This window comes from Homo sapiens, chromosome 5, assembly GCF_000001405.40.
Source record: "Homo sapiens chromosome 5, GRCh38.p14 Primary Assembly".
NCBI lineage: Eukaryota > Metazoa > Chordata > Mammalia > Primates > Hominidae > Homo > Homo sapiens.
This window is the reverse complement of record NC_000005.10, coordinates 169626620-169652253: the sequence shown is the minus strand read 5'-3', so window position 1 is coordinate 169652253 and position 25634 is coordinate 169626620. Positions and strand designations below refer to the sequence as shown.

The 25634-nt window shown below is 43.9% G+C and overlaps 1 protein-coding gene across 8 annotated transcripts in view, besides 4 other annotated features; it reads right to left on the bottom strand.

The window, feature by feature from the left end:
• DOCK2 (dedicator of cytokinesis 2) overlaps positions 1–14979 on the bottom strand; it is a 446108-nt gene extending 431129 nt beyond the window's left edge. For all 8 annotated transcript variants that reach the window (NR_156756.1, NM_004946.3, XM_011534449.3 and 5 more), the window contains exon 1: positions 14885–14979. Coding sequence is in view for 7 of the 8 variants with exons in the window: in NM_004946.3 (NP_004937.1) it covers positions 14885–14927 (43 nt within the window). In the remaining variant the exon portion in view is untranslated. The remainder of the gene's footprint in view (positions 1–14884) is intronic.
• Positions 2108–2167: a silencer, noted in NCBI's record as "silent region_16603". NCBI's record gives its function as "represses an Ori minimal core promoter by ATAC-STARR-seq in GM12878 lymphoblastoid cells {active_cell/tissue: GM12878}" and the evidence as "EXISTENCE:reporter gene assay evidence [ECO:0000049][PMID:35858748]".
• Positions 14182–14281: an enhancer, noted in NCBI's record as "active region_23593". NCBI's record gives its function as "activates an Ori minimal core promoter by ATAC-STARR-seq in GM12878 lymphoblastoid cells {active_cell/tissue: GM12878}" and the evidence as "EXISTENCE:reporter gene assay evidence [ECO:0000049][PMID:35858748]".
• Positions 14542–14601: a silencer, noted in NCBI's record as "silent region_16602". NCBI's record gives its function as "represses an Ori minimal core promoter by ATAC-STARR-seq in GM12878 lymphoblastoid cells {active_cell/tissue: GM12878}" and the evidence as "EXISTENCE:reporter gene assay evidence [ECO:0000049][PMID:35858748]".
• Positions 14632–15111: a silencer, noted in NCBI's record as "silent region_16601". NCBI's record gives its function as "represses an Ori minimal core promoter by ATAC-STARR-seq in GM12878 lymphoblastoid cells {active_cell/tissue: GM12878}" and the evidence as "EXISTENCE:reporter gene assay evidence [ECO:0000049][PMID:35858748]".

Genomic DNA, 25634 nt, shown 5'->3' with positions numbered 1-25634 from the left:
CGATCTGCTTGCCAAGGCTTGCACCCTGCCCTGGCACTGTGCCCACCAGAGGAAGGATATCTTTTTGTAATCCACACAAAGGCACTGTAGGAGCCAGGGGCAGCCTGCTTGAGCAAGTGGCTGAATCTCCCTAAGCCTCAGTTCCTCTGACTGTAGAATGCAAGAAATAATGGTCCCTACCTTACTGGGTTCCTGGGAGGCTCAGCTGAAATTAATGCCCATACACGACTTGACTTAATGTCCAGCTATAGTAAGTGCTCAGTAAATGTAGTCACTTTTCTTTTTATTAGCATTATATTATCTCCTGAACAAGGCTCACTCCTCCAGAGCTTTGTGTAGCCTTTAAATCTCCTTTCCTGCACTTTGCAACCAACTGCTCTGTCGACCAACACTTAATCAAATTAATCCTTTGTCCAAAAGCAAATCTAGAGAGGGCCCTCGGGGGATGCTGAGGCTTCTCTCCTCCTGCATAAACGCAGCCTGTTTCTTCATTCCCTCCGCACTTGGCCTGATTTCAACCCCCTTCCCCTCATAGGCTGCTGTTGCTTGGACATACTCCAGTTTGCTGGTGTCCTCACTGGGTAGACTCTGCTCCCTGCTCTTTCAGCCCAAGTGGTCTGCCTGAGGACTTGGCAGTAGAACTGGACAGGATGGTGGAAGCAACTGAGGCTTCCAACAGAAGAAAACCAGGCACAATGTGTGTTAGTCTCTGGAGCACGAGCAAATCAGGGGTGTCCATCAGATATGTGGAGGTGGGGCAGGACCGTGTGTTACTCCGTGACCAGCTCCTCCCTGCTTTCCTCGGGAATCTTCCCTCATCCTCTGCCCAGCAATGTCAGGTGAGAAGGTGCCAGTAGATTGGCTTAAGATGTCCTGGACAGATCTTGAAACTGGGTATTCAAAGTGAAGATCCGTATTCATTCCAAGTACTCACTGATTACAAAAATGAAAGTAACTGACTTTGGCACTTAATTTATAAATCTATTTCTGCCTTTGCATAAGGGCCTCTTAAGGCTCCATTTGAAGAAAAGCAGACATGACTGACAAAGGAAGTGGCTTTGCCTATGAATACCCAATTCTGTTTAGTCTTCTAGATGACTAACAGGAAGCTCCAAGCCAGAATTCCCCTCTGCTACGTTTGATGGCTTATCTCTGTCCTTCAGTTTGCTTCTGACCAGTCTAAGATGGGCCTAACCACTCTCAACTTTTGAACAAGGGATGAAAAAGGCAGAAAAACAAGAGGAAGAAATCATAGCCTGCTCCACCCTGCCCAGTGCCTGTCCACAAAAGATAGACAAATCAGGGAAGCCTACCCACAGCCCTCAGGCCCTCGGCCATTCCCGCAAATACTCATTCCAGCTTCCCCATCGTGCCAGGTCGCCAAGCCCTGGGGAATACTGACACATTCCCTAGGAAAGACTTGACCTCTCCTTGTACCAAAGCACCATACATAGGAACCAAAACAGAAACTGGTATCCTGACAAGCCCACCCAGAACAAAGCATTTATGGCCAAGGATCAAAGGGATGTTCCCAAGTATGGAGCCATCTTGGGTCACTGACTCCAGCAAGGACTCACATTGGAAATCCCAGGTTGGCAAGCCACCGGACTGCTATTTTGAGGCAGATGGAACTTCTAGCAACCCTGGAAATCGAATCCACTGATTAGCTACCAATTCCACCTAAACATATTGAAGTACTCTATTCATCAGGAGTTCAAATAGAGGGAGCTAAGGTGAAAGTAAACACCATTGTTCTAGCACAGTGGCTCACAAAAACAACTAAAGAAGGGTCTCTGTGCTTTGTGCAATTTTAGGAGATAAGTTCAATGTTTCTCTTTGATTTATATATAAGGAAACTGAGGAAGGGGTGGGTAAACAACTTCTCCACCTAATAAGATATATAGATAGATCTCGGAGTCTAAATTCTAACTACTGCACACCCTGTTTCCTAAGAAAATGGTAAATATTTAGAGCACATTTTAAATGCCAAGTATATACTCCATGGTGTTTTCAACAGATATCCATGTGAACATCTAGTGTGTGCTAGATACTGTCCTAACTACTGTAGACACAGTATGTAGTACCTACTGGGTGCTAGATATTGCTCTGAGTACTATAGTCACAGTGATAGATAAGACAGACAAAATCCCCAGCACTGCCAGGTGCGGCGGCTCACGCCTGTAATCCCAACACTAGGGGAGGCAGGTGGATCACTTGAGGTCAGGAGTTTGAGACCAGCCTGGCCAACATGGTGAAACCCCGACTGTACTAAAAATACAAAAATTAACCAAGTGTGGTGGGGTACACCTGTAGTCCCAGCTACTCGGGGGACTGAGGCAGGAGAATTGCTTGAACCTGGGAGGCAGAGGTTGCAGTCAGCCGAGATTACACCACTGCACTCCAGCCCGGGTGACAGAGCAAGACGCCGGCAAAAAAAAAAAGAAAGAAAAAAAAATCCCTAGCACTTTACTTGTATCAGCCCATTTAATCTTCATAGTAACCTCAAGTTATTACTCTTCCTGTAACATACAAGAAACTCAAAGAGATGTTAAGGAACTTGCTCATAGCCACACAGAAAGTGGCAGAAAGCGGATTCAAACCTAGAGTGGAGTCCAGAGTCCCTGCTTCCTCACCAGGCATCACACTCTATTACACATACACTGGGCTTGTTTATATCCTCGTTACATCCAGCCTCAGTAAGGATGGAGACTGAGCCTATCTTGTTGACCACTGAATTCCTAGCGCCTGGCCCACAGTAGAAGTGCAATCAATGTTTATTGAACTTTTAAGAAATGCTCATTGGACGGAAGGGATGTGAATGAACATGAAGGGCAGCTATGTCCCTTCTTCTGGCTATATTCTTTCTTGCATTTATCAAGATTGCTTCAAAAGACACGTCTTGGCTGCCAATTTTGATTGCAGCCATCGAGTGCCCTGTGACCCTTCAAGATGGATTCGTACCTCATCTGGGGCCCTGCCATCTGCTGACATGTTTGAAAACACAAGCTTCAGCCAACACCAAGTGTTAATAGAGTTTGGACAAGTGGCTGTGTAAGAGGAACAAAAGCAATAATGGAGAAAGAATGTAATTGCCCGAAGCTCACTTTGGAGAGTCTCCACTCCAGGGGGAAATAGAACTAGCAGCAGGTCCACTTTGGTGGATTCAAGTGAAATGCGCTCATCGAAATGCGTAAGCAGTGTGCCTGAAGTCTCTGGACAGGTGTTGACAGCCTCCGCACTGAGGCAGCATCCTGACATTGCATCCACGAGGGTGACTGCGATGACCCAGCAGAAGCCTCTGGCAGCCACCCCAGAGCTCAAACCCGGGCGGGCGCTAGTCAGCAGCAAATGAGGCAGAAGAATTACAGCCAGAGGGAACCTAGAAGGAGGAGGTGTTCCTCCACCCACCAGGAGAGAGCAGAGAGCAGAAGAACAGCTAACCTCTGCCAAACACTTCCTGCATACCAGACACTATTCCAAGGGCTTTACGCACAGCCACCCATTTCATCGTGAATCTGCAGTTCTTGGGGTGGGTGTGATTATTATCGTCTCTGTTTTACAGATGAGGAAACTGAGGTAGTGCAAGATCAAGTAAACATCCTGGGGTGAACACAGCAAAGAAGGGGCCAAGTGAGGATTTCACCCCAGACAGGCTGGCTCCGGAGCACACTCTCTCAGCCATGCACCACACTCACATCGCCTCTCACGAGTGGAGATGCATTTGGTCCCAGCACTGTGCCAGGTGCTTTAGGCCTCTTGCTGGATCATGATAACAACCTTATGGGCTGCATATTGTAGCGCACAGTTTTTAGCGAGCCAGTGACATGCCCAGCCGACAAGACGAAAGTTAGGATTCCAGTGAATTCTCTCAAACAGTGATCTCAACTGGGAGCGAATTTGCCCCACTAGAAGAGACATTTGTTGATGTCTGGAGACATTTTTCTTGTCCCAACCTGGGGGAGGGGAGTCGGGGGTGTCAGTGCTACTAGCCTCTAGTGACTAGAGGCCAGAGATGCTGCTAAACATCCTACAGTGCACAGGACAGCCCCATAACAAAGATTTTCCTGGCCCACAATGTCAATAGTGACAAGGTTGATAAACCCTGCTCTGAAACATCATGCTGGATTTCACTCTCTCCATTCTAGTACTCCTATAGGCACATTCACACACACATTCTCACACACTCTTGCACTCACACATGCACACACACACTACAGAGTTGGAAGAGAGTTTATGGTGAAATCAATCAAATCAGCCCTCCAGCCCCAAATGCAGAGAGCGTCTGGCACTCTGCAGGATCCTGCAGCTAGAAAAGTGGGGTGAAAGGGGGTGGCTCCTGCTCTCCTGAGCTTCTGTGAAATCTAGTCGAAGAGACAAAATAAACACACAAGAAACAAAGAGCTGTCTTCAGAAGTGAAAGGCTAAACTGCAAGTCACAGCAGCTGTGGACTCTCAGAGGGAAAAAGAGGCCCCACTAAGGAAGTGAGACTGGAGGGAGAGGGAGGGGCAGAGACTGGCAAGGGGAAGAACTGGACTGAGAGCCCCCAAGGAGGTGGGGAGAGGGTGTGACAGCAGGGAAGAGAGGGGGGAAACCAGCTTGATGTGTGAGGGATGAATGGCAGGGCCATCTTAATGGAGTCCCAGGGAGAACTGGTGAGCTTGGTAGAGTGACCATCTGCAGGAGTCCACTGTTTGGAGACGAGTTCAAGAGTACTCTATTTATTGCTGTGCTGTGCTCTCACAGGACCTCGCCTCCTGACAGGGAAATGGATGAGGTGGGAAGATAAAGGCAAGATGGGGCAACTCAGTCCATCTGAATCCTATAAGGCCACCAGAAAATTTTAAAACCTCCAACTCTTACCCTTTACCCATCCTCCTCCCCCTCCACTCATCTACCCACCCACCCATCCATGCATCCACTCACCCATCTATCATCCATCTACCCACCCATCCATCTAATCAACAACTATCCATCCACCTATGAATCCACCTCTTCATCCATCCAATCAGCAGCCGCTGAGCACCTGCTCTGTGCTGAAGAAGAACAACAGACATGGCCCTGCCATCATAGAGCTTGCATTCTACAGAGGTGCCCAGATCATTCAACATGAGGCTGCAAGGAAGTATGAAGGGGATGATGGCAGCTCTAGTAACATGAAGCAAAGGGGGCACTGCCCCCAACCTGTCCAATGGGGACATTAGTACTAATAATGGTGCTCTCTGCTGCCTCATACAGAAAGAGAGGTTATGACTGGACTGTAAGCTTCCCGAACTGTTTTATTCATCTCTGGGCCCAAACACCCAGCTAAGGACCATCACTCAGGACAGGCTTACTGAACTTAATTGATCTGAACAGACTGTAAGAATTGTTTTCCGACTCTTGACAAGCTCCTGGCTTCAAGAATTCAAACCTTAGGCAGAATGCTTTGGCTATACCTATTGTATTTGTTTACTAAATAGTTACAGAGTAAAATAAGCACATTTTGCCAGGGACCTTAACTGGCTTCCATGAATGAGTTTTGGCGACATTACAATGCAGAACTGCACATGTGCATATTTTAATGGGAAGAAGTGTGTTTCTAGCGGTCACAGGATTCTCAATGGGACCTATGCTACAATAATGATTAGTTTCTCTGACCTACCACGTTCCTGCTATTGCAGTGATGCTGAATGGACTCAAAGTTAACCCTCCATACAGCTCTGCCCTCCAACAATGTACCAGCTAGTGGGGAAGATGACATGCAGTTACCTAACTAAAAGACAAGGTGAAAAGGGGCAACTTCCATAAAATAGAGGGAATTTTCAGAGAGACCTCAAAGATCTATGCCTCAGTTTCCTCACCTGCAAAATGAAGACAGAAGTTATTTTTCTTAGGGTGTCTGTGAGGGCTAAACATGATGACACAAGGGCTTTGTAAATGTACCATGCTATGGGACTGGTACTCAAACAGATATATAGACCAATGGAACAGAACAGAGACCTCAGAAATAACACCACGCATCTACAACCACCTGATCTTCGACAAACCTGACAAAAAGAAGCAATGGAATAAGGATCTCCTATTTAATAAATGGTGCTGGGAAAACTGGCCAGCCATATGTGGAAAACTGAAACTGGACCCCTTCCTTATATCTTACACGAAAATTAACTCAAGATGGATTACAAACTTAAATGTAAAATCCCAAACCATAAAAACCCTAGAAGAGGCTGGGCGTGGTGGCTCATGCCTGTAATCCCAGCACTTTGGGAGGCTGAGATGGGCGGATCATGAGGTCAGGAGATCGAGACCTTCCTGGCTAACACGGTGAAACCCCGTCTCTACTAAAAATACAAAAAATTAGCCGGGCGTGGTGGTGGGCTCCTGTGTAGTCCCAGCTACTCGGGAGGCTGAGGCAGGAGAATGGCGTGAACCCAGGAGGTGGAGCTTGCAGTGAGCCGAGATTGCTCCGCTGCACTCCAGCCAGGGAGACAGAGTGAGACTCTGTCTCAAAAAAATAAATAAATAAAAATTTAAAACCCTAGAAGAAAACCTAGGCAATACCAATCAGGACATATGCATGGGCAAAGACTTCATGACAAAAACACCAAAAGCAATTGCAGCAAAAACCAAAATTAACAAATGGGATCTAATTAAACTGAAGAGTTTCTGCACAGCAAAAGAAACTATCATCAAAGTGAACAGGCAACCTACAGAATGGGAGAAAATTTTTGCAATCTACTCATCTGACAAAGGGCTAATATCCAGAATCTATAAGAAACTTAAACAAATTTACAAGAAACAAACAACCCCATCAAAATGTGGACAAAGGATATAAACAGACACTTCTAGAAAGAAGACATTTATGTGGCCAACAAACATGAAAAAACGCTCAACACCACTGATCATCTGAGAAATGCACAATGAGATACCATCTCATGCCAGTCAGAATGGCGATTACTAAAAAGTCAAGAAACTATAGATGCTGGTGAGGCTGTGGAGAAATAAGAATACTTTTACACTGTTGGTGGGAATGTAAATTAGTTCAACTATTGTGGAAAACAATTCCTCAAGGATCTAGAACGAGAAATACCATTTGGCCCAGCAATCCCATTACTAGGTATATACCCAAAGGAATAGAAATCATTCTACTATAAAGACATATGCACACGTATGTTTATCGCAGCACTATTTACAACAACAAACACTTGGAACCAACCCAAATGCCCATCAATGATAGATTGGATAAAGAAAATGTCAACATATATACCATGGAATACTATGCAGCCATAAAAAGAAATGAGATCATGTCCTTTGCAGGGACAGGGATAAAGCTGGAAGCCATCATTCTCAGCAAACTAACACAGGAACAGAAAACCAAACACTGCCTGTTCTCACTCATAAGTGGGAGTTGAACAATGAGAACATATGGCCACGGGGAGAGAAACATCACACACTGGGGCCTGTCAGGGGGTGGGGGAGTTGCAAGGAAGGGAGAGCATTAGGACAAATAGCTAATGCATATGGGGCTTAAAACCTAGATGACGGGAAGATAGGTGCAGCAAACCACCATGGCACATGTATACCTACGTAACAAACCTGCATGTTCTGCACTTGTATCCCAGAACTGTCAGTAAAATTAAAAAAAAAAAAAAAAGTACCGTGGTACAAAAGGTAAGGCAATGGCATGATTTATGCCAATGTCGATGACTACTTAGATCAAGGTTTTCACTAGGGAAGGCCTCGATGCAGCCCTCATTCTTCTAGCTATTCAGACCAGAAACCTCGGAGTCACCACTGGCTCCTCTCTCCTTCTCATACCCACATCCATTCCAAGAGGAAAACCCCATTTGCTTGACCTACAACACATACATCCCGAATCTAAGCATATCTCACTGTCTCCACTGCTCCCTCCTGCTGCAAGCCACCGCCATCTCTTGGCCTGAGTTATCACTGTTGCTGCCTAACTGGTCCCTCTCCTTCCACATTTAATTCCCCCTGATTAATGCACCATAAAACTGCTATGTTCAATCCTCTTAAAACTTAAGACAGGTCGTCCTACAATTCTACTCCAAATCCTGCAATGTCCCCCTCCCCCATTCAGAGTAAAAGCCAAGGACCTCACAATACCTACGAGGCACTGCTCCCTATGACCTCTCTCAGAGAATCCATTCCTTACTGCTTTGCATCTTGCTTACTCTACTGCAGCCACACTGGCCTCCCACACATCAGAGAGGCTTCCTCCTCTTTATATTGGCTATTCGTTCTACTTAGAAGGGTCCTTCCCTGACTGCCACCGCCAGGGAAGCCAGCAGCAAAAACCCACTTTCCAGGCAAACCCTCAAGGTTCAGCTGACACTGGGATGGCCCTGCTGCTGCAGCCCACCATGTCAGTCAGGGTGTCTCTAGGCCTGGCATTGCACCATTTAATTCAACCAAACAAATGCCTATTACCCCATTCAGACCCTGTGCCGTGACAGTGTGCACGTCATACTGTCCACCTATGTCTCCAACCATCATCTTAGCTTAGGCTGTGATCCAAGGGGCCGTGTGCAGTCAGGGGAACTGAGTGCCCTAGAACAGGGGTCCCCAACTCCCCAGGCCACCGACCGGTACTGGTTGGTGGCCTGTTAGGAACCGGGCTGCAGAGCAGGAGGTGAGCAGCAGGCAATCCAGCATTAGCCTGAGCTCTGCCTCCTGTCAGATCAGCAGGGGCATTCGATTCTCACAGGAGCAGGAACCCTATTGTGACCTGCACACGCGAGGGATCTGGGTTGTATGCTCCTTATGAGAATCTAATTAATGCCTCATGATCTGAAGTGGAACAGCTTCATCCCGAAACCATCCCTCCCGCCCCGCCCCACCTCCCCATCAGTCTGTGGAAAAATTGTCTTCCACCAAACCAGCCCTGGTGCTGAAAAGGTTGCAGACCACTGCCCTAGAGTGATGAACGGAGAGGGCTCTGGAAAGTGTCCACATTGGCGGTCATACTTTCTCCAGCCTCAGTTTCTGCCACCATGACTTTAAACCAAAGCAGAAGCTGACCTGGTGGGGTGCAGGGAGACAAGGAATGACTTTCTCCAAGGAGAACTAACAACAGAATAAGACTTAAGCAGCTCACAAACTCAGCCTGACTGTTTTTCAATTCACACCAATTAAGGGAAGGGGGAAGAAAGGAGAAAGTGCCTATTAAAGGGAACATTTGTGGTGTCTCCGCCCAGACTCCTCTGGAGTTGCGTGGTGATAAGCACTGTCATTCCCCATTTGCAGAACATATGCTGCAGAGCACAGACTGTGGCACCCATGTGTAATTGACTATTGAAAAAAAAAACAAATCCAAAGGTCCAGAAATTAGCGGAGCAGTATGGTGACTACATTTCATCTCTCAAAAGACAGCAGCAATAGGATGCTGATCTCAGGAGGAAGCAGAGCTTAGAAAACACAATCTGTCTTCAAGGCTCATTCAAATGCAAACATTATGGTCAGGGGCAAGATGTCCACTGCCTAATGAGGTGCCCATATAACTACGGATTAGGACAATCTCCTTACATGAACTCAAACAGCCAGCCCAGCAGGCACTCCTAAACAGACCCAAATTGCTGAAGCATCTGAAAGTAGGAAGCCCCGGCACCTAAGAATTGGTGGCAGGAAGGAATTAGATGTCTAATCCATGTATTTTTGTTTCACCAGACTAATTTCTGGGGACCAATCCAAAGGTACAGTCAGCCACTGTAGCAAAGATGCATGTATTAATATCCCTCCAAGCATTGGCTTTGGGATTCTTTTCCCCATTGCTCCTGAGAGGCCTTCTCACATCATCTAATTCAAGACCATTCCTAATATTCTCACTCATATTAAAACAGCACATATCACAATTTGTAATTATATGGTTACTGATTTATTCATGAAATTCTTTTTCATCTTCCCTATTAGACTACAGGCTCCAGAAGGATAGGGGCCATATTGGCCTAATTCTAGTAATCTCAGTGACTAGCATAATGCCTGGCACACACACCCAACAAATATTTAAGAAGTTAATGAAGAATGAATGAGTGAACAAATGGACAAGTTAATGAGTGAGTGATGCTCTCTATCCTTTCAACTGTTGCATTTGGCAATAAAAGCAGTATAATTGGTCCCTCTGTAGTGAAGTTCTGCTCCTGGGTATGTTTGGGATGCAGTTTCCACTCATGCTTCCAACTCAAAGAATCAGTCCCCACCCATGGCTCCTGCTAGAGGAGTAGCAAGCCATGTGACCCCACCTCATAGTCACAGAGAATTAGACCTGCCAGGGGCAGCACCCTCACCAGAGTGAGGCCCATTATTAGGCTGGCAATGAACTCTGACTTGGGTTGTCTTTCTTACAAAGGGAAATCAAGCTACCACTCTCTTCTGTTGGGACTTTGAACAAATAAACACAGAGAAGATTCAGTGGATGCTTGAACTGCAAGGTTGTGCAGAGATGGGTGGGTTGCATGCTGGGGCCACCACTGTGGTATTAGAGTATCAGTTACGAAGGAACAATGCAATCAGAGGGAGGTGGTGGGGAGAGAAAGGAGACCACAGTTGGCATGCTCAGAGAAGCTGAGAAGCCATGAGAGGAGAGGCAGAGGTTTCCAGGGTTGCCTCAGTTCAAGCCCTTTCCGAGGCCTGGCTCCTCCTGTTTCCTGGATTTCCATGTGATTCCTCTGACCCTAAAATACACCACTTCTCCCTGCTCTCCCACAGATACACACCACACACATTTTCGTTGAACTGGTTTGACTAGATTTTGTTCCCTTCAACAAAAATCCATGTGCAAATGACACCAGCACACATTGCCCACGCCAAATCTGTCAGTGTGCATGGATCAGCTCTGTCCAGGGTCCTGGGCTGCGACAGCATCACCCACATCCCTGAACCACGAGCTGGTTATGGATTCCTCCATATTCCCCAACCAAGCTGTGAAAAAGATCCCTTCTCTGCTTCTGCAGAGCCTGTTATGGTTTGAATTGTGCCCTCCCCCTCCAAAAAAAGAGACGTTGGAGTCTCAACTCCCAGTACCTCAGAATGTGATCTTATTTGGAGACAGTCTTTACAGAGGTAATCACATTTAACTGAAGTCACTAGGGTGGGCCCTAATCTAATATGACTGGATGTCCTTTTTAAAAGGAGAAATGCGGAGACAGACACGCACACAATGAGAATACCACGTGAAGTTGGAGGCAGCGATCAAGGCAACGCTTTTGTAAGCCAAGGAATGCCGAGGATTGCCAGCAAACCACTGGCAGCTGGGGGAGACACCTGGAACAGATTTTCCCTCAGCCCTCAGAAGAAACCAACAAATATTCCTCAACACCACACATGGGTGTAAAACCATAGCTAGAGAGAAGCTGCATACAGAACAGGTTTCTGATCAAAATATGCCACTTCCATAGGGCATATTGATTATTTTGAGCTGGATGCAAATAAGAATCAACAGGTACAGCAAGAAGCTTTCCTGGATATTTATCTGAAGAAACTCCTAAGAAATAAGGACTGTCATAAATCCCCTCTCCCAGGGAAGTTTTATGGCAATGAAGAAGACAGAAAGTTGGCTCCAAGATGAACCTGCACAAATAACCCTTTATCTTCCATTAGATTCCCCATATATTTCCCTTCCCACAGTTTGCTGCCCTTGGAGGCCTAAAACCCTCCTTTGACTTGCTACTTCTCTAAACCTTTATTGTACCTTTGCTAAGATGCTGTATAAGCTCAAGTTCAAACCAACCCTTTGAGTACTCCATATGTAAGCAGGATGTACATGCTAATAAACTTGTTTGTTTTCTCTTGTTCATCAGTCTTTTGTTAGTCTAATTTACAGAAAACCCAAGATGCAGTAGCAGAAAGAAGCTTTTCCCTCCCCTACAAGAATAACTAGAGTCCCACACAAATCTGCCTGGCAGGCTCAGCTTCAGGGTAAACAAAACTCTTTTCTACCCTCACCCTTTATCTCAGGACTCCTGCCTTGAAGCCCTCTTTATAGTCCCAAAATACCATGCCAGAGACCACAGATTATTTGTCATGAATTTGTGTCCCCACCAAAATTCTTATGCTGAAGTCCCAGTCATCAGTGTCTCAGAAGGTACTCCTATTTGGAGATAAGTGCATATTCGGAGATAAAGGAATTATTAAGTTAAAATGAGTCCTTTAGGGTGGGATGCTAATCCAATATGACCGGTGTTCTCATGACAGGAGGAAGAGACAGCAAGGGTGTGCCTGCACAGAAAGCAATGAAGAGGCAGCAAGACAGCCATCTGCAAACCATGGAGATAGGCCATGAGACAAGCCAACCCTGGTGGTGCTTTGATCTTAGACTTCCAGCCTCGAGAACTGTGAGAAAATACATTTCTGTTGTTTAAGCCACCCAGTTGGTGGTATTTTGCTACAGCAGCCTGAGCAAACTAATATATCATCCTCAATATTCTTCCTCCTCTCCTTACTTATGAAGAGAACTCCTAATTTTTAGCTGGGTACATGGCTGCCTACATTACAGACTACATTTCCTAGCTTCCCTTGCAGCTATAGTCAGTCATGTGATTACATTTTTGCCAATAGGATGTAATGTAAGAAGAAATGTCAAGTGTGCCTTCAGGAAAATGTCTTTAAAGGGAAAAGCCATGACCTTCTTTTTCCCTGCATCCTTTTTGCTGGCTGGAAGGTGGACCTGATCACCGAAGCTTAAGCAGCCTATGTGGCTCAGGAGGCAGAAGTCACATGCCAAGGATACAGTGTGAGATATAGAATGAGCCACCTTACCACCTCTTCCCAGACCATTTCTGAGCTTTCCATGAGAGACAGAAATAAACTTGCAGCTTGGTTAGGCCACAATTTTGGAGGTTTTCTGTCACCCTTTGTCACACTTAACCCTAACTGATACTGTTAGTTTCTCTTTCTACCTCCTTCTTTTCTGCCCTTTCCTCTCTCCTGCAAGGAGAAAGCTCTCTTCACTGACAAGAGCCTCAGGCAGAGTGGATTAACCTAGTAAAGGTTAACAGGCAATGTTGATTATAAGTGACCTCCTGCTAGATTAACCAGGCAGTCAGCAGACAGGTAAAACTGTTACCCATTTTCCTTCTATTCTAAGTCCAATTCCCCACTCCTATCCTAATTAACTATTTAACTTCTTCCAGATGACACTGCTCAAAACCTCCAGTGCTCAGAGAAGGAAATCCAAACTTTGAAGGTTGGCACTCAAAGCCCTTCACAATCTAGCCATAATCTACCTCTGAAATTTTTTTAACACTAAAAGCAATACTAAAACCAAAACAGACTACTTATTGTTTGACCCACACACTTCAGGGATGCCAGTTCCCTGCCTTTACCCATGATGTTCCCCTTCTAGATGCTTTTCTGGTGCCATGCAAAGGGCCTAGGGTCTGAAGACAATTGAATTTAAGGCCCGCTCCATTGCTTCCAAGTGATGTAAACTTGGTTACTTCACCTGTAAGTTGGGAATAATACACTGCCTCACATGGGGGTTCTGAAGTCAGACAGAGATTGCATGACCTTTGGTCTTGCAAACCATGAAATACTACAGTCTCATAAGGCATGACTGTCCTGAATCTGGCATTAGGGTGCATCTTGGTGCTGGTGTCTCTTGGTTCTGAAGCTGCTAGGTAAGACCCTGGACCTGAATCACTAACTCTTATTGAGCCAGCACACTACTAAATGCTTTCCATGCATAACCCCATTCAATCCTCACAAGAGTCTCATGAGACCTGCATTATTATTACTTCCACTTTATAGACGAGGAAACAGACCCTGATTTGAACTCAGTTCTGACTTCCCAGTCCAAGCCTCTAGCCTTACACATAACTCCTCAAGGGCAGAAGCTGTATCCTTCCTTACTTTGTAACTGCCCCTTGAGATATGAATTATTATTTGTTCTCTGGATGGGGACCATTTATATCAAAATGACCCCACAGTGCCCGGTACCCAGTAATTGAGTGGATAACTGCTGATCTCTCCAGGGCAGTGTTTCCCAAACAGTGGCCTGGGGACCCCCTGCATCAAATCCCTCTGGGTGTTTGGGTCTTCCAATGCCTCACCTGCGAAATATTTATCTCTGAGATGGTGTCTGGTATCCGCCTGTGTAGGAAGCTCCAGAGTGACTTTTTATTTGATATTTAAGTTTAAAAACCACAGTGAGTCCATGGAGATTGCACCACGGATGACACTTAGAGTAGCAGCACCTGAGGCCTCCCTTCCCCCAGCCACCACTTCCGCCCCTGAGCTCCAGGCAGAGGCTTCTGGGAGTTTAGATGGCTGAGGCTGACGAAGCTAGCTTCTTGGTTACCCTAAGACCACCTGGCGGGAGCCTTTTTCCCCAGAGGCTCTGGGGGGCTGAGTAGAGAACCCCACCGTCCAGCCCCATTCCCCCAAGCTTGAGCTGCCCTCTGGATGCCCTGCCAAATCAGGAGTCATCTGACCCAGGAGGAACAGACAGGGGAAGCAGGCAAATGGGTGTCGCTTTGGAGGGGGTGGAAGTATGCATGGTGGGCAGGCCAAGGCTGAGCCAGGGGAGAGTGGAGCTCCCTCTACAAGGCCAAGTCTCCCACGCGGCGAGCTGGGGCACTCCTGGGGACGCCGAGTTTGGCGCGAAGAACTGAGTTGTCAAGCGCAGGTCTTGACCCTATCTCGGAAATGTCTAAGGTTCCCTCAGCAGGCGAGAGGGCGAGGGCTGTGCTTAGCCTGCGGGGTGGGGTCCCGCCGTCCTCTCCCCGAGCCTCGGCTTTCCCGCCCCGAGGCCCCGCCGCAGGCTGCGCCCTCTGACCTGCAGGCAGCGCGCCCTGCCCACCCCGCGCCGCCGGCCCCGCAGCATCCTCCTGCTCGCGGCTCTCCCGCCACCTGTCCCGCTCCCTGCCGCGCCCTGGGGCCCGCACCTACCCACGCCGTGCCGCTCCTTGTCAGCTTTGCGCCAGGGGGCCATGGCTGGGCCGGGGCCTCGCGTCCTCCCGTGGGGAAGCCGTCAGGGGGTGGCTGGGCGCCGCAGGGCCCCACTTCCTTCCTCTTTTCAAACTCCTCTCAGGGCCCGCCCTCTCCTCCCTCGCCGGGGCTCCCCGCTCCCTCCTCCCTCCCGTTGGGCAGGGGCACACTAGAAGGCTGGTGCCCCGTAGGCTAAGACACGCCACCCCACCCCACTTCACGCAAAACTTGGGGACCACTCCCACTTTGTCTCCTCCCCAGGCGAGGGAGCAGAGGCCAGTCCCCACCTGGGGCTCGCCAGACCACCACCGCAAGTGCAGAGAGTTTCCTGATTGCCGTGCCTAGGGACTGAACAAACCTCCTTAACTCCCCTCAGCATGAGCTTTGGTGTCAGATCTCGGTTCGAATCCAGACGGGGACAAATGACTTCATTTTTCTAAGCTTCAGTTTTCTCATCTGTGAAATGGGATACTAATACCTACTTCATATGATTATTGTGAGGGTTAGAGAGACAATGTACACAGCAGGTGACATGGAAGAGTAAATGTTTACCTGGAGGTGGATCCTTTACAGCCTTTTTTTTTTTTTTTTGTGAGACGGAGTTTCGAGTTTCTCTCTTGCTGCCCAGGCTGGAGTGCAACGACGCGATCGCGGCTCACCGCGACCTCCGCCTCCCGAGTTCAAGCGACTCTCCTGTCTCAGCCTTCCCAGTAGCTGGGATTACAGGCATGCACCAGCATGCCCGGCTAACTTTGCATTTTCAGTAGAAACGTGGTTTCTCCATGTTGGTCATGCTGGTCTCGAACTCCCCACCTCAGGTGATCCGCCAGCCTCAGCCTCCCAAAGTGCTGGGATTACAGGTGTGAGCCACCGTGCCTGGCCCATTTACAGCTTTTTATCGTTTTGGTGCTACAAACCCGTTGGAAAATCTGATGTAAGCTCTAGAAGCTCTACTCTGAAAATACGTAAATACACTATTTACCAACATCACTGCAAGGTGAAGGGTGCTGTCACAGCCAGCAACAGTGGGACCCAGGAAAAGAGCCCTAGAGTTAGGCTAATGGAGACATTTCCTCGAAAAATCTCATTTTTGCTCTGAGAACAGATTCTGTCCAAAAAAAAAAAAAAAAAGTCTGATCCACAGTGATAAGGCTGAATTTAAGTTTTGCTGAGTTTTCTTTCTTTATTCATGACTCTCACTACCCCTTTCTGCCTTACACTGGAGAGTCATTAAGATAGATTAGGCAATATCACAGCTGAACTGGAGCAACAAAAAATTATTGATTTTGTTTTATCTGCAGTTATTTTCTTTTCTGTTTTCTAGCAGCACAAATTAGGTAATAATGTCTTATACAGTCAGCAGTGGTATTAGGGTTCCACCAGATGACCAGAGTAGGAGATTTTATATATATGCATACATATATATACATACATACATATATGCATATATATATACACATACATACATACATATATGCATATATATACACATACATATATGCATATATATACACATACATATATGCATATATATATACACATACATATATGCATATATATATATATATATATACACATACATATATATGTATATGAGAGACAGAGAGAGATTGGGGATTGGCTAATGCGATTGTGGGGCTGTCAGGAAGAGCAGTTTGGAAACTCACAGGCAGATGTCCTCAGGAGGAATTTCTTCTTTTTCAAGGAACCTCAGTTCTATTCATAAGGTTTGTCAACTAATTGGATCACACCAACCAAATGTATTGAGGATAATCTCCCTTAATTAAATTCAATGTATGGTAGATGTTAATCACATCTACAAAGTACTTCACAGCAACCCCTGTGAAGATTGTGAAGATTGGTATTTGATTGAATAACTGGGCCATAGCCTTGCCAAGTTGACTCACAAAACTAGCTATCACAACAATGTTATAAATTGGGACTATACAATAGAGGATGCCAAACATTTTCTGTAAAGTCACAGATAGTATTTTAGTCTTTGCAGTCCAGAAAGCAAAATCAAGTATATATGTAGGATGCAGGTACTTATGTAAAGAAAGAAAAAAGGTTCTAAATTTTTTTTATTAATAAAATTCAAAATATCATGTGAATGAGTATTTTTTGTAATACTAGCTTAGTAAGGCAAAAAAAAATACATTTTGGGAATGATATCACATTTCACCTTATTGGAGTTCAAAGTTAATGTGCCTTATCGAAATTGATTCAAATATTCATATGTTAATGCTGATCTGACAGGATATTTACTTTCTATTTCTGAAAAAAATGTTTACCAAATGGGCAATGGTTAAAAGTCCAGAAAAGCTAATAAAATTAACCTTTGATACCACTGATTCAATAACATCACAGATTTAGATATTTTCCACAAAGTACCTGATGGTGAATATTACAATTAATAATCATAAGCTTTAAATATCTTATATTTTCACCCACCTTCTAAATTTGCTCCAAAAGCCTTCTTCTGCTCCACAGATATTTTTTTTACCATGAACACTAGCAACACATCTTAGCAGATTCCACTTCAGGTTGTGTTGAATTAGTGTTTTCTCATTTTCTTTTAAAGTAATCTTGCCTATAGTTCTTCTACACAGGCTCTTCATAGAAGCTATTTCTTCATTCACTTCGAACTCAGCATTGACTTCTCAAATAAACAACAACTGAGCTGTATTGGTAATATTTGTCAACAAGAACTAAGGAAAACCACTAGAAGTCATTTTAAAATTCACTATTGATGCTTCTGTCAATGTTCTCAACCAAGCAACCAGTGTCACCAAAAGGCTAAAAGTCTTAAACTAATTTATTTTCACTGGATATATTTCATCTGCTGCTATAATCAAACATGATTTAATGAACTTAACATCAATAAAATATTTTGCCTTGCTTGCATAACAAATAAGCCACTTGGAAACTTATTCTGGTTGTAGTCTCATTTTCACTTTTTATTATTTTAAAGAAATTGTGCTGTGATGAGATATTCTGTTTTAAATTTTCTAATTTTTCTTGTCATTGCTTTTGTGTAAGTTGGAAAAGATGTGATGAGTGCTTAATCTATTATATTGTTTGGAGTGTCAACATGTAATAAACACAATGCTTTCTCCTCTGCTTTGTTTGTTTTGTGCTGCTATAACAGAATGCTACAGACTGTGTAATTTATGATGAACAGAAATTTATTTGGCTCACACCTCTGGAGGCTGGGAAGTTAAATATCAAGGGGCCAACATCCAGCAAGGGCATTTTTTTGCTGTGCCATCCCGTGGTGGAAGGTGACAGGGCAAGAGCCAGAGAGCAAGAGAAGCCCAAACTCACTTTTATAACAAACCCACTCTCACAATAACTAACCACTCCCTCAATAACTAACCCACTCCTACGATAACAACATTAATCTATTTATGCAGAGCCCTCATGATCTACTAATTACATCTTATTAGGCCCCACCTTCCAACACTGTTGCTGTATTGGGGATTAAATTCCCAACTCATGAACTTTGGGGGGGGTCACATTTAAACCATAGTGCTATTTAATTTGGTAACAAACAATACACACTCCACTGTGCCTTAGAAGCATGACATTTGGAGCCCACTATTCTTTCTTTTCTTTTTGACATGGTGGCTATAGCACTGGTAATTTTTTTAAATGTTACCATAGAGAGAGATATGCACTTTAAATGCTGTGGAGTTGTAATCTCATCCTCGTGATTAGTGGGTTGCTGGAGAGCACTGTGTAGCATTGAAAACACCATACACAGTCCTTGTTGCAAATAGTCAACTCTGCCATTGTAGAATGAAAACAACTATAAATGATGCATAAATGAATGAGCATGGCTGTGTTCCCATAAAATGGAATTTTTACTTCCTACAGTTTTCATATAGCATGGAATGTTATCTTTATTTTGATATTTTTCAGCAGTTTAAAAATGTAAAAACTAGTCTTAGTTCATGGGCCATACAAAAACATGCAACAAGCCAGATTTGATCTGTGAACCACAGTTTGCTATCTTCTGCTATACACAGTTGTGTTGTCTTCATAAACTTGTAGCCAGTTGATCTAAAATACACTTTTTTTTTTTTTTTCGATTTAGGTTTAAGCTTCTGACATACAAACAGGCAACTTCACATTAACAGTGTGGTAAAGTATCTGATGGGAGGCCAAGAGTAGGTGGTGGTGCCAGAAAGCAAATAAGATTGAACTTGAGGAGCACTGAAGTTTTTTTTTCCCCATTCAACTTGTGACACAACCTATAATAGGAATCTCTTCCTTAAATAATGTTAAACAAACAAATTCAGCATATTAAAAGAGTTGAAAAACTGCTTTCAGTTGAAGGAGATGAAGTTTAGAAATTTTGACTGAGGGTTAATTAACTTCTTAATGGGGTGGCTTTTAGTGCAGAAATCTTTAAACTTCATATGGTTAGGAGATGGCTTTTATGTTTCTGAAATATGGGCTTTTCATTACAGTTAACAATCCTATGGCATCATAAAAATTTTTTGGCAAGAGAGATCAATAGTCAAACATAAAAATCTGACTAAAACCACTTAAAGAATTTACAATAATCTTGGTCACACAATTTTATTAAACACCATCTGTCAGTTACTTGACTATTAGGTAGTACACTCTTGATGACTATAACTTCACATACATTGTGAGGGATGACTGTGGGTAAAAGGACATCTCTAGCCAAGATTTCTGTTAAGTTCAGTCCTGTGTGTCCAACTACCTCCTAGACATCCCCTCCCAGCCCCATCAATGTCTCCATATTTCAAAACCAAGCTCATATCATAACTGTACCCTAGACTTGTCCCTCTTCTGACTGTTTCTACCCAATGTTAACAGATGAAGTGACCAGACTGTGCTTTAATCAGGTGCTAGAACCCCATCTCCATCACTTACCTAGCTTTGTGGTTTGCAGCAAATTCACTGAACACTTTCTGAGCCCCATTCATTGAATACTTACTGCCTTTCAATCCCTGATTTAAACAGTTGGCATGCATTATCTCGTGTCATCCTAAAAGCAGCCCCATAAGACAGGTACCATTATTACCCCAATTTTACCCCCAATTTGCTAATCAGCAAACTGAGGCCAGAGAAATGAAATCCCTTATTGTAGCCAATATCCACTATGATTGCCCATGAGTGCATCATTACCCTTCACTTCACTCGGGTCAGAAATTTAACTCATCCTAATCTTCCTTTCATTCCAAATGATAATCTCAAAAACAGCTGTTGAATCTGCCCTCTTCCCCATCCCACAAACTTAAGATCTTCCTTGAAACTTGGATTAGAGATCCCTTCCTCCAACCTTGCCTCCTTCCAATCTCTTCTCCATGTTACTTCTGAGAACCTTTGCCCAAGTAGTTTTGGTCTTCTCAAGCTTCTGGAATAATCTAGGAAAAATATAAGCAAAGCAGGTTTGTAATAACGTGAGAGGTTTAACAACTTTTGTGAAATGTGAAATAAAGACATTCCACAGGAAATAACTATGCAAAGCCTCAAGTATAGCCCAAAGAAATCTAACTGGACTCATGGTTTAGGTAAATTGAAGAAAACTCTTTCCCTAAGGCACAGCAGAAGGGGAGGTTTCTGATGTCCATCTTTTTCAGAGTCATATGTATTCAGGTCCAAGATTTGGCTGGATTTCACTAGTATGCCTGTAATGATTACTAAATATTGGAATATTTCCATACAGTTGCTAAATAGCTATATCTCAAGACATTCGAGTGCCCTCCTCCCATTCTTGCGTCACTACAGTGCCTGTCAGCTTGTTCTGAGTAGTTCATGGGGGTGGGCCCCCTACTGCACAAGTCCACCAACACCCAGCCAGAGAGCTCCTGGGCCCAGATAGGAGAGAGGGCTACCCGGAGTTAGCATTGGCACGTCAGTAGGTAGATGCCTAGAGGCTTCTGGTGTCCCACTGACCTGTGTCCATCACATGGCTGCCTTTGGAAACTCCATCCTCCACAGTACTAGTCAACATTTTTCTCATTGTCTCTTCTTGTGTTAGCTGTTACAGTCATGGCAAATAGCCGAGTATATTCTCAGCAGCTCAGACAGTCGAGAGCAAAAGCTTGTACTTACCTAAATTTTACTCACCAAAGAGGAGTCCACATTCCGATCAGGACCATAAAAGACTCTCGGTAAGAAGGATATACGCTCCCAAAATCAATTAGTTACAGTAAAGGAAGGAGGCCCAACAACAAAGATGGCATGTAGATAAGTAGGCATTCAAATAATTCTGCCTTCAGTAACAGACAAAACTCTAGAAGTGACTGTGGGAGTGAGGGTTGGCGATAGGGAGAATCAAGAGCTTTCCTGCTTACCTAGAGTTTGCTCTATCAGATGAATGTTAATAGCCTCATCCAGGTCACTGCGAATGTCACTAATTCATTCATTTTTATGGCTGAGTATTATTCTATCATAAGTATATTCTAAGTGAAGTAACTCAGGAATGGAAAACCAAACATTGTATGTTCTCACTCATAAATGGGAGCTAAGCTATAGGATGCAACGGCATAAGAATGACAGAATGGACTCAAGGGGAAATGGTGGGAAGAGGGTGAGGGATGAAAGACTACAAATAGGGTGCAGTGTATACTGCTCAGGTGATAGGTGCACCAAAATTTCACAAATCACCACTAAAGAACTTATTTATGTAACCAAACACCACCTGTTTCCCAATAACCTATGGAAATAAAGTATATATATATGTATATATATTTAAAAATGTTAATAGCCTCAAGCCCACTGCTAGTTAATGCTGTAGGCATCTGCCGGTGGGATCTACCTCAACTGTGAGACTAAGACGTCAAGGCCCAGATTAATATCTTTCAGTGCATCCTTCAAATACTTTTGCACACTATTTAAAAGTCTTAAGAATATTATGCAGGGCCATCATTCCCCCCGACAGCTTCATTTCCTGCCTCCTCTGCCCCTTCTTACACCACCTCCCTGCACCACACCCACAATCACCCTACACTCTTACAAGATGGTGCTGTTTGAAGTTTCCTAGAAGTGCCACAATTCTCAGATCTCTGTGTGCTGTAGTCCTTCCTCCAATAGGAATACCTCTTCTTGCCCTCTAGGTTAAGTAGTTCTGGGAAGATTTACTTGGTGACTCCCCCCACCTCCCAATTCCCCCTCCAGTTAGACAACCCTCCTGCGGCAGCCCATGCTCATGAACTACTGGTCTGTCTAGTAGTCGCAATGGCTCTTTCTGCAAAGCTGCCAAGGCTCATACTGGGTGCAGTGACATCAGCCCTGCTCCTTTTCCACATCTCGTTGGCACTGACTCATCTAGAAACAATGATATTTGACAGGGGCCAACTACTAGCAGTCCAAAGGCCAAATCTGGAGGGTGACATATTTGTTTAACAAGCATATTTTATTTTACAGTTTTTAATGTTTTTAAAAATTGCCAGCAATTAACAATCAAGAGATTTTACCTGAACTTCTAGATTTCTAGTCTCTCTCTAAATAAATGTAGACACTGCATTTCCACAAGGCAGTTTCAGCTGGAGGCAGCTTCAGCAGCTGTCCTTGAGTTTGAACATGCACTCTAGTTGCCACAATCTCCAATGCTGAGGCCAAATTTCAATGGCTATTTACCATTGTGCTTACACAGTTGTTTTTCTTAAGATAAAAACAAAAATGAAATACTGCTTGGCCCTGTGTTCTATCAAAAGTGGGAAAATAAGAGAGACTGAAAAGATATATGTTTCAGGAAACATGGGAGAGGGTGTATATATTTACAGATGTGAAGAATATTCTTAGATGTAGGTCTACATAGAACAAGTTCTTCTTAAGTTGCCATAATAACAACAAACCCAGTTTGCTTCATTCATTTAAGTTACCTGCCTAGTCCCCATAGACACTGAGTTGAGACCTTGGTGGGTGTATTACAAACGAGAAAGGCCAACAGTTTCTGGCCAATAAGGAGGCTTTGTATTGGGTGATAGCAAACCAACCCAGTTAGGTCTTCTCATTTCAGAAGTATAAATAGTAGACATTACTGCAGAAAGCAAATTACTTGAGCCAAGAGCGCCTCTTGAATAATCTCAATCTCTTGATTTTTTGGAGAAATCAATTATCTGGTTTAGAAAGAGACAATAGATTCCTCATAAGCCTTCATGTTCTAGCAATAAGCCTCCAGTCATCTGGGTGTATCTCTTCTCTAAGTCCAATACACATCTGCATGCCATGTTGTAATTGTGGCTTTACTGGACTTCCACCCATTCCTAGAGGCTGAGTGCTCCTTCATTCCACAAACGTCTATGGAGAACTCATCATGTGAAAAGTCCTGAGGATATATCTTGGGGAACAACACAAACAAGATTGCCACTCTCATCAATCCTGTAGGCTAGAAGGGAAGGCAGAAAATCCATGTACATAATACATTTTAATAAAGAAAATAAATTGTATAAAGAGTACTGTGGGAGAGTGGAAAAGGGGATGGTCTGGGAAGGGCTGTCTGAGAAAGTAATAGTTAAAAAGTGACCCTTGAGGAATCACCAGACTGTCTTCCACAATGGTTGAACTAATTTACACTCCCACCAACAGTGTAAAAGTGTTCCTATTTCTTCACAGCCTCGCAAGGATCTAGAACCAGAAATACCATTTGACCCAGCAATCCCATTACTAGGTACATACCCAAAGGAATAGAAAACAGTCTACTATAAAGACACATGCACATGTATGTTTATTGCAGCACTATTTACAATAGCAAACACTTGGAACCAAACAAAATGCCCATCAATGATAGACTGGATAAAGAAAATGTCGTACATATACACCATGGAATACTATGCAGACATAAAAAAGAATGAGTTCATATCCTTTGCAGGGACATAGATGAAGCTGGAAGCCATCATTCTCAGCTAACTAACGCAGGAACAGAAAACCAAACACCACATGTTCTCACTCATAAATGAGAGTTGAACAATGGGAACACATGGCCACAGGGAAGGGAACATCACACACTGGGGCCTGTCTTAGGGTGGAGGGCAAGGGGAGGGAGAGCATTAGGACAAATAGCTAATGCATACAGGGCTTAAAACCTAGATGACAGGTTGATAGGTGCAGCAAACCACCACGGCACATGTATACCTATGTAACAAACCTGCACCTTCTGCATATGTATCCCAGAATTTAAGTAAAAATATTTTTTTAAAAAGTGACCCTTGGGAAAAACATGTTCCTGGGAGAGGCAAACACATTTGTATAGATCCCAATGGGAGAACAAGCTTACTGTATTTAAGAAACCAAAAATGGCCTGTGTCATGGGTGTGCAGTGACCATGTGGTAAAATTTAGGTTGGAAGTTAGATAGGAACCAAATTACATAAAACCTTGAAGATCACACTAAAGAGTTGGAATTTTACTATAAGTGTACTGGGAAGTGAGAAAGACAGTCAGGTGCTGGCTAGGCCCTTACAGGTAGGCTGTGATATTCTCCTATTGAACATGAACAATTTCTCATGTTGAACATCAACATCAGGCAGCGCCAGCCTGTGACTGTGACGAATCTAGACAAAAATAAGACAACTCTGTAACCATGAGTGATCATAGACAAAACATGAACATTGTCCAAACCAAAAATGACCAGATGTCATTATTCTGTCATGGCTAACGTGAATGACTACTGATTTTTCCTTTTAATCAGTTTCAGGCTTAGCCTCATTCTAGTCTTCCATTCTTCTAGATGAGATGTATTAAGTTACCTAATCACAGAATTAACACTGCCTTCTTAAACACTACCCCAAATCACATAACACAAGTCCAAGACCTATCCATAGTAAAGTCCCTTCTAACATACTCTTACTGGAACACCCCAGGACTCCCCATGGTATGCAGCCACAAGCAATAAACCCAACTTTTTTTTACTGCAGGTGCATTGCTGGTGGTCTTTAGGTGGAAGGCATTGACAATGTCACTAGAGGATTTTAAGCAGGAGGTAATATAATCTTTTTAAAAAATTATTTCAATTAGAAAACAAATTCTATAGGTCAAGAATGAAAGTAACAAGGCCAGTAAGTGGTTCAGCATCCAGGGAAAGATGATGGTGGATTGGACCAAATGGTAGGGGCTCAGCAGTCAAATGCAAAATATATTTCAGAGATGGTATCCATAGGACTTGCCTACCAAGGAAATGAATATGTAGATCAAGTAGGCAGCCAAAGCCAAAGACCCAAAAATAAAGTAGCCAAAATAAGATAGAAGTCCAATTCTTTTCTGCATAGTTGGTATTGCAGTTCTATGACATTGTGAAGGGTGAAGGCTCCTTCTTTCTTGCTATTCCATTATCCCCCAGGTTCACAATCATTATGTGCATGATCCACAATGACTCACCACCATATTTCCATTCCAGTCAGCAGAAAGGGAGTTAGAGGGAAATAACAGCATGGCTCAGAATAGCACTCAACACTTTTGCTCACATTCCTTTGGGCAAGAATTGGTCCCATGCCCACATCTAGTTGCAAAGAAGTCTGGAAAATAAAGACATACCTCAGATATACTGAAGGTTCAGTTCTCGACTACTGCAACATAAAGCAAGTCACACAAAATTTTGGTTTCCCAATGCATATAAAAGTTATGTTTATCCTATACTGCAGTCTATTAAGTGGCAGTAGCATTATGTCTATGAACACAGATAATGTACATACCTTAATTTAAAAATACTTTATTGCTAAAAAATATTAACAATC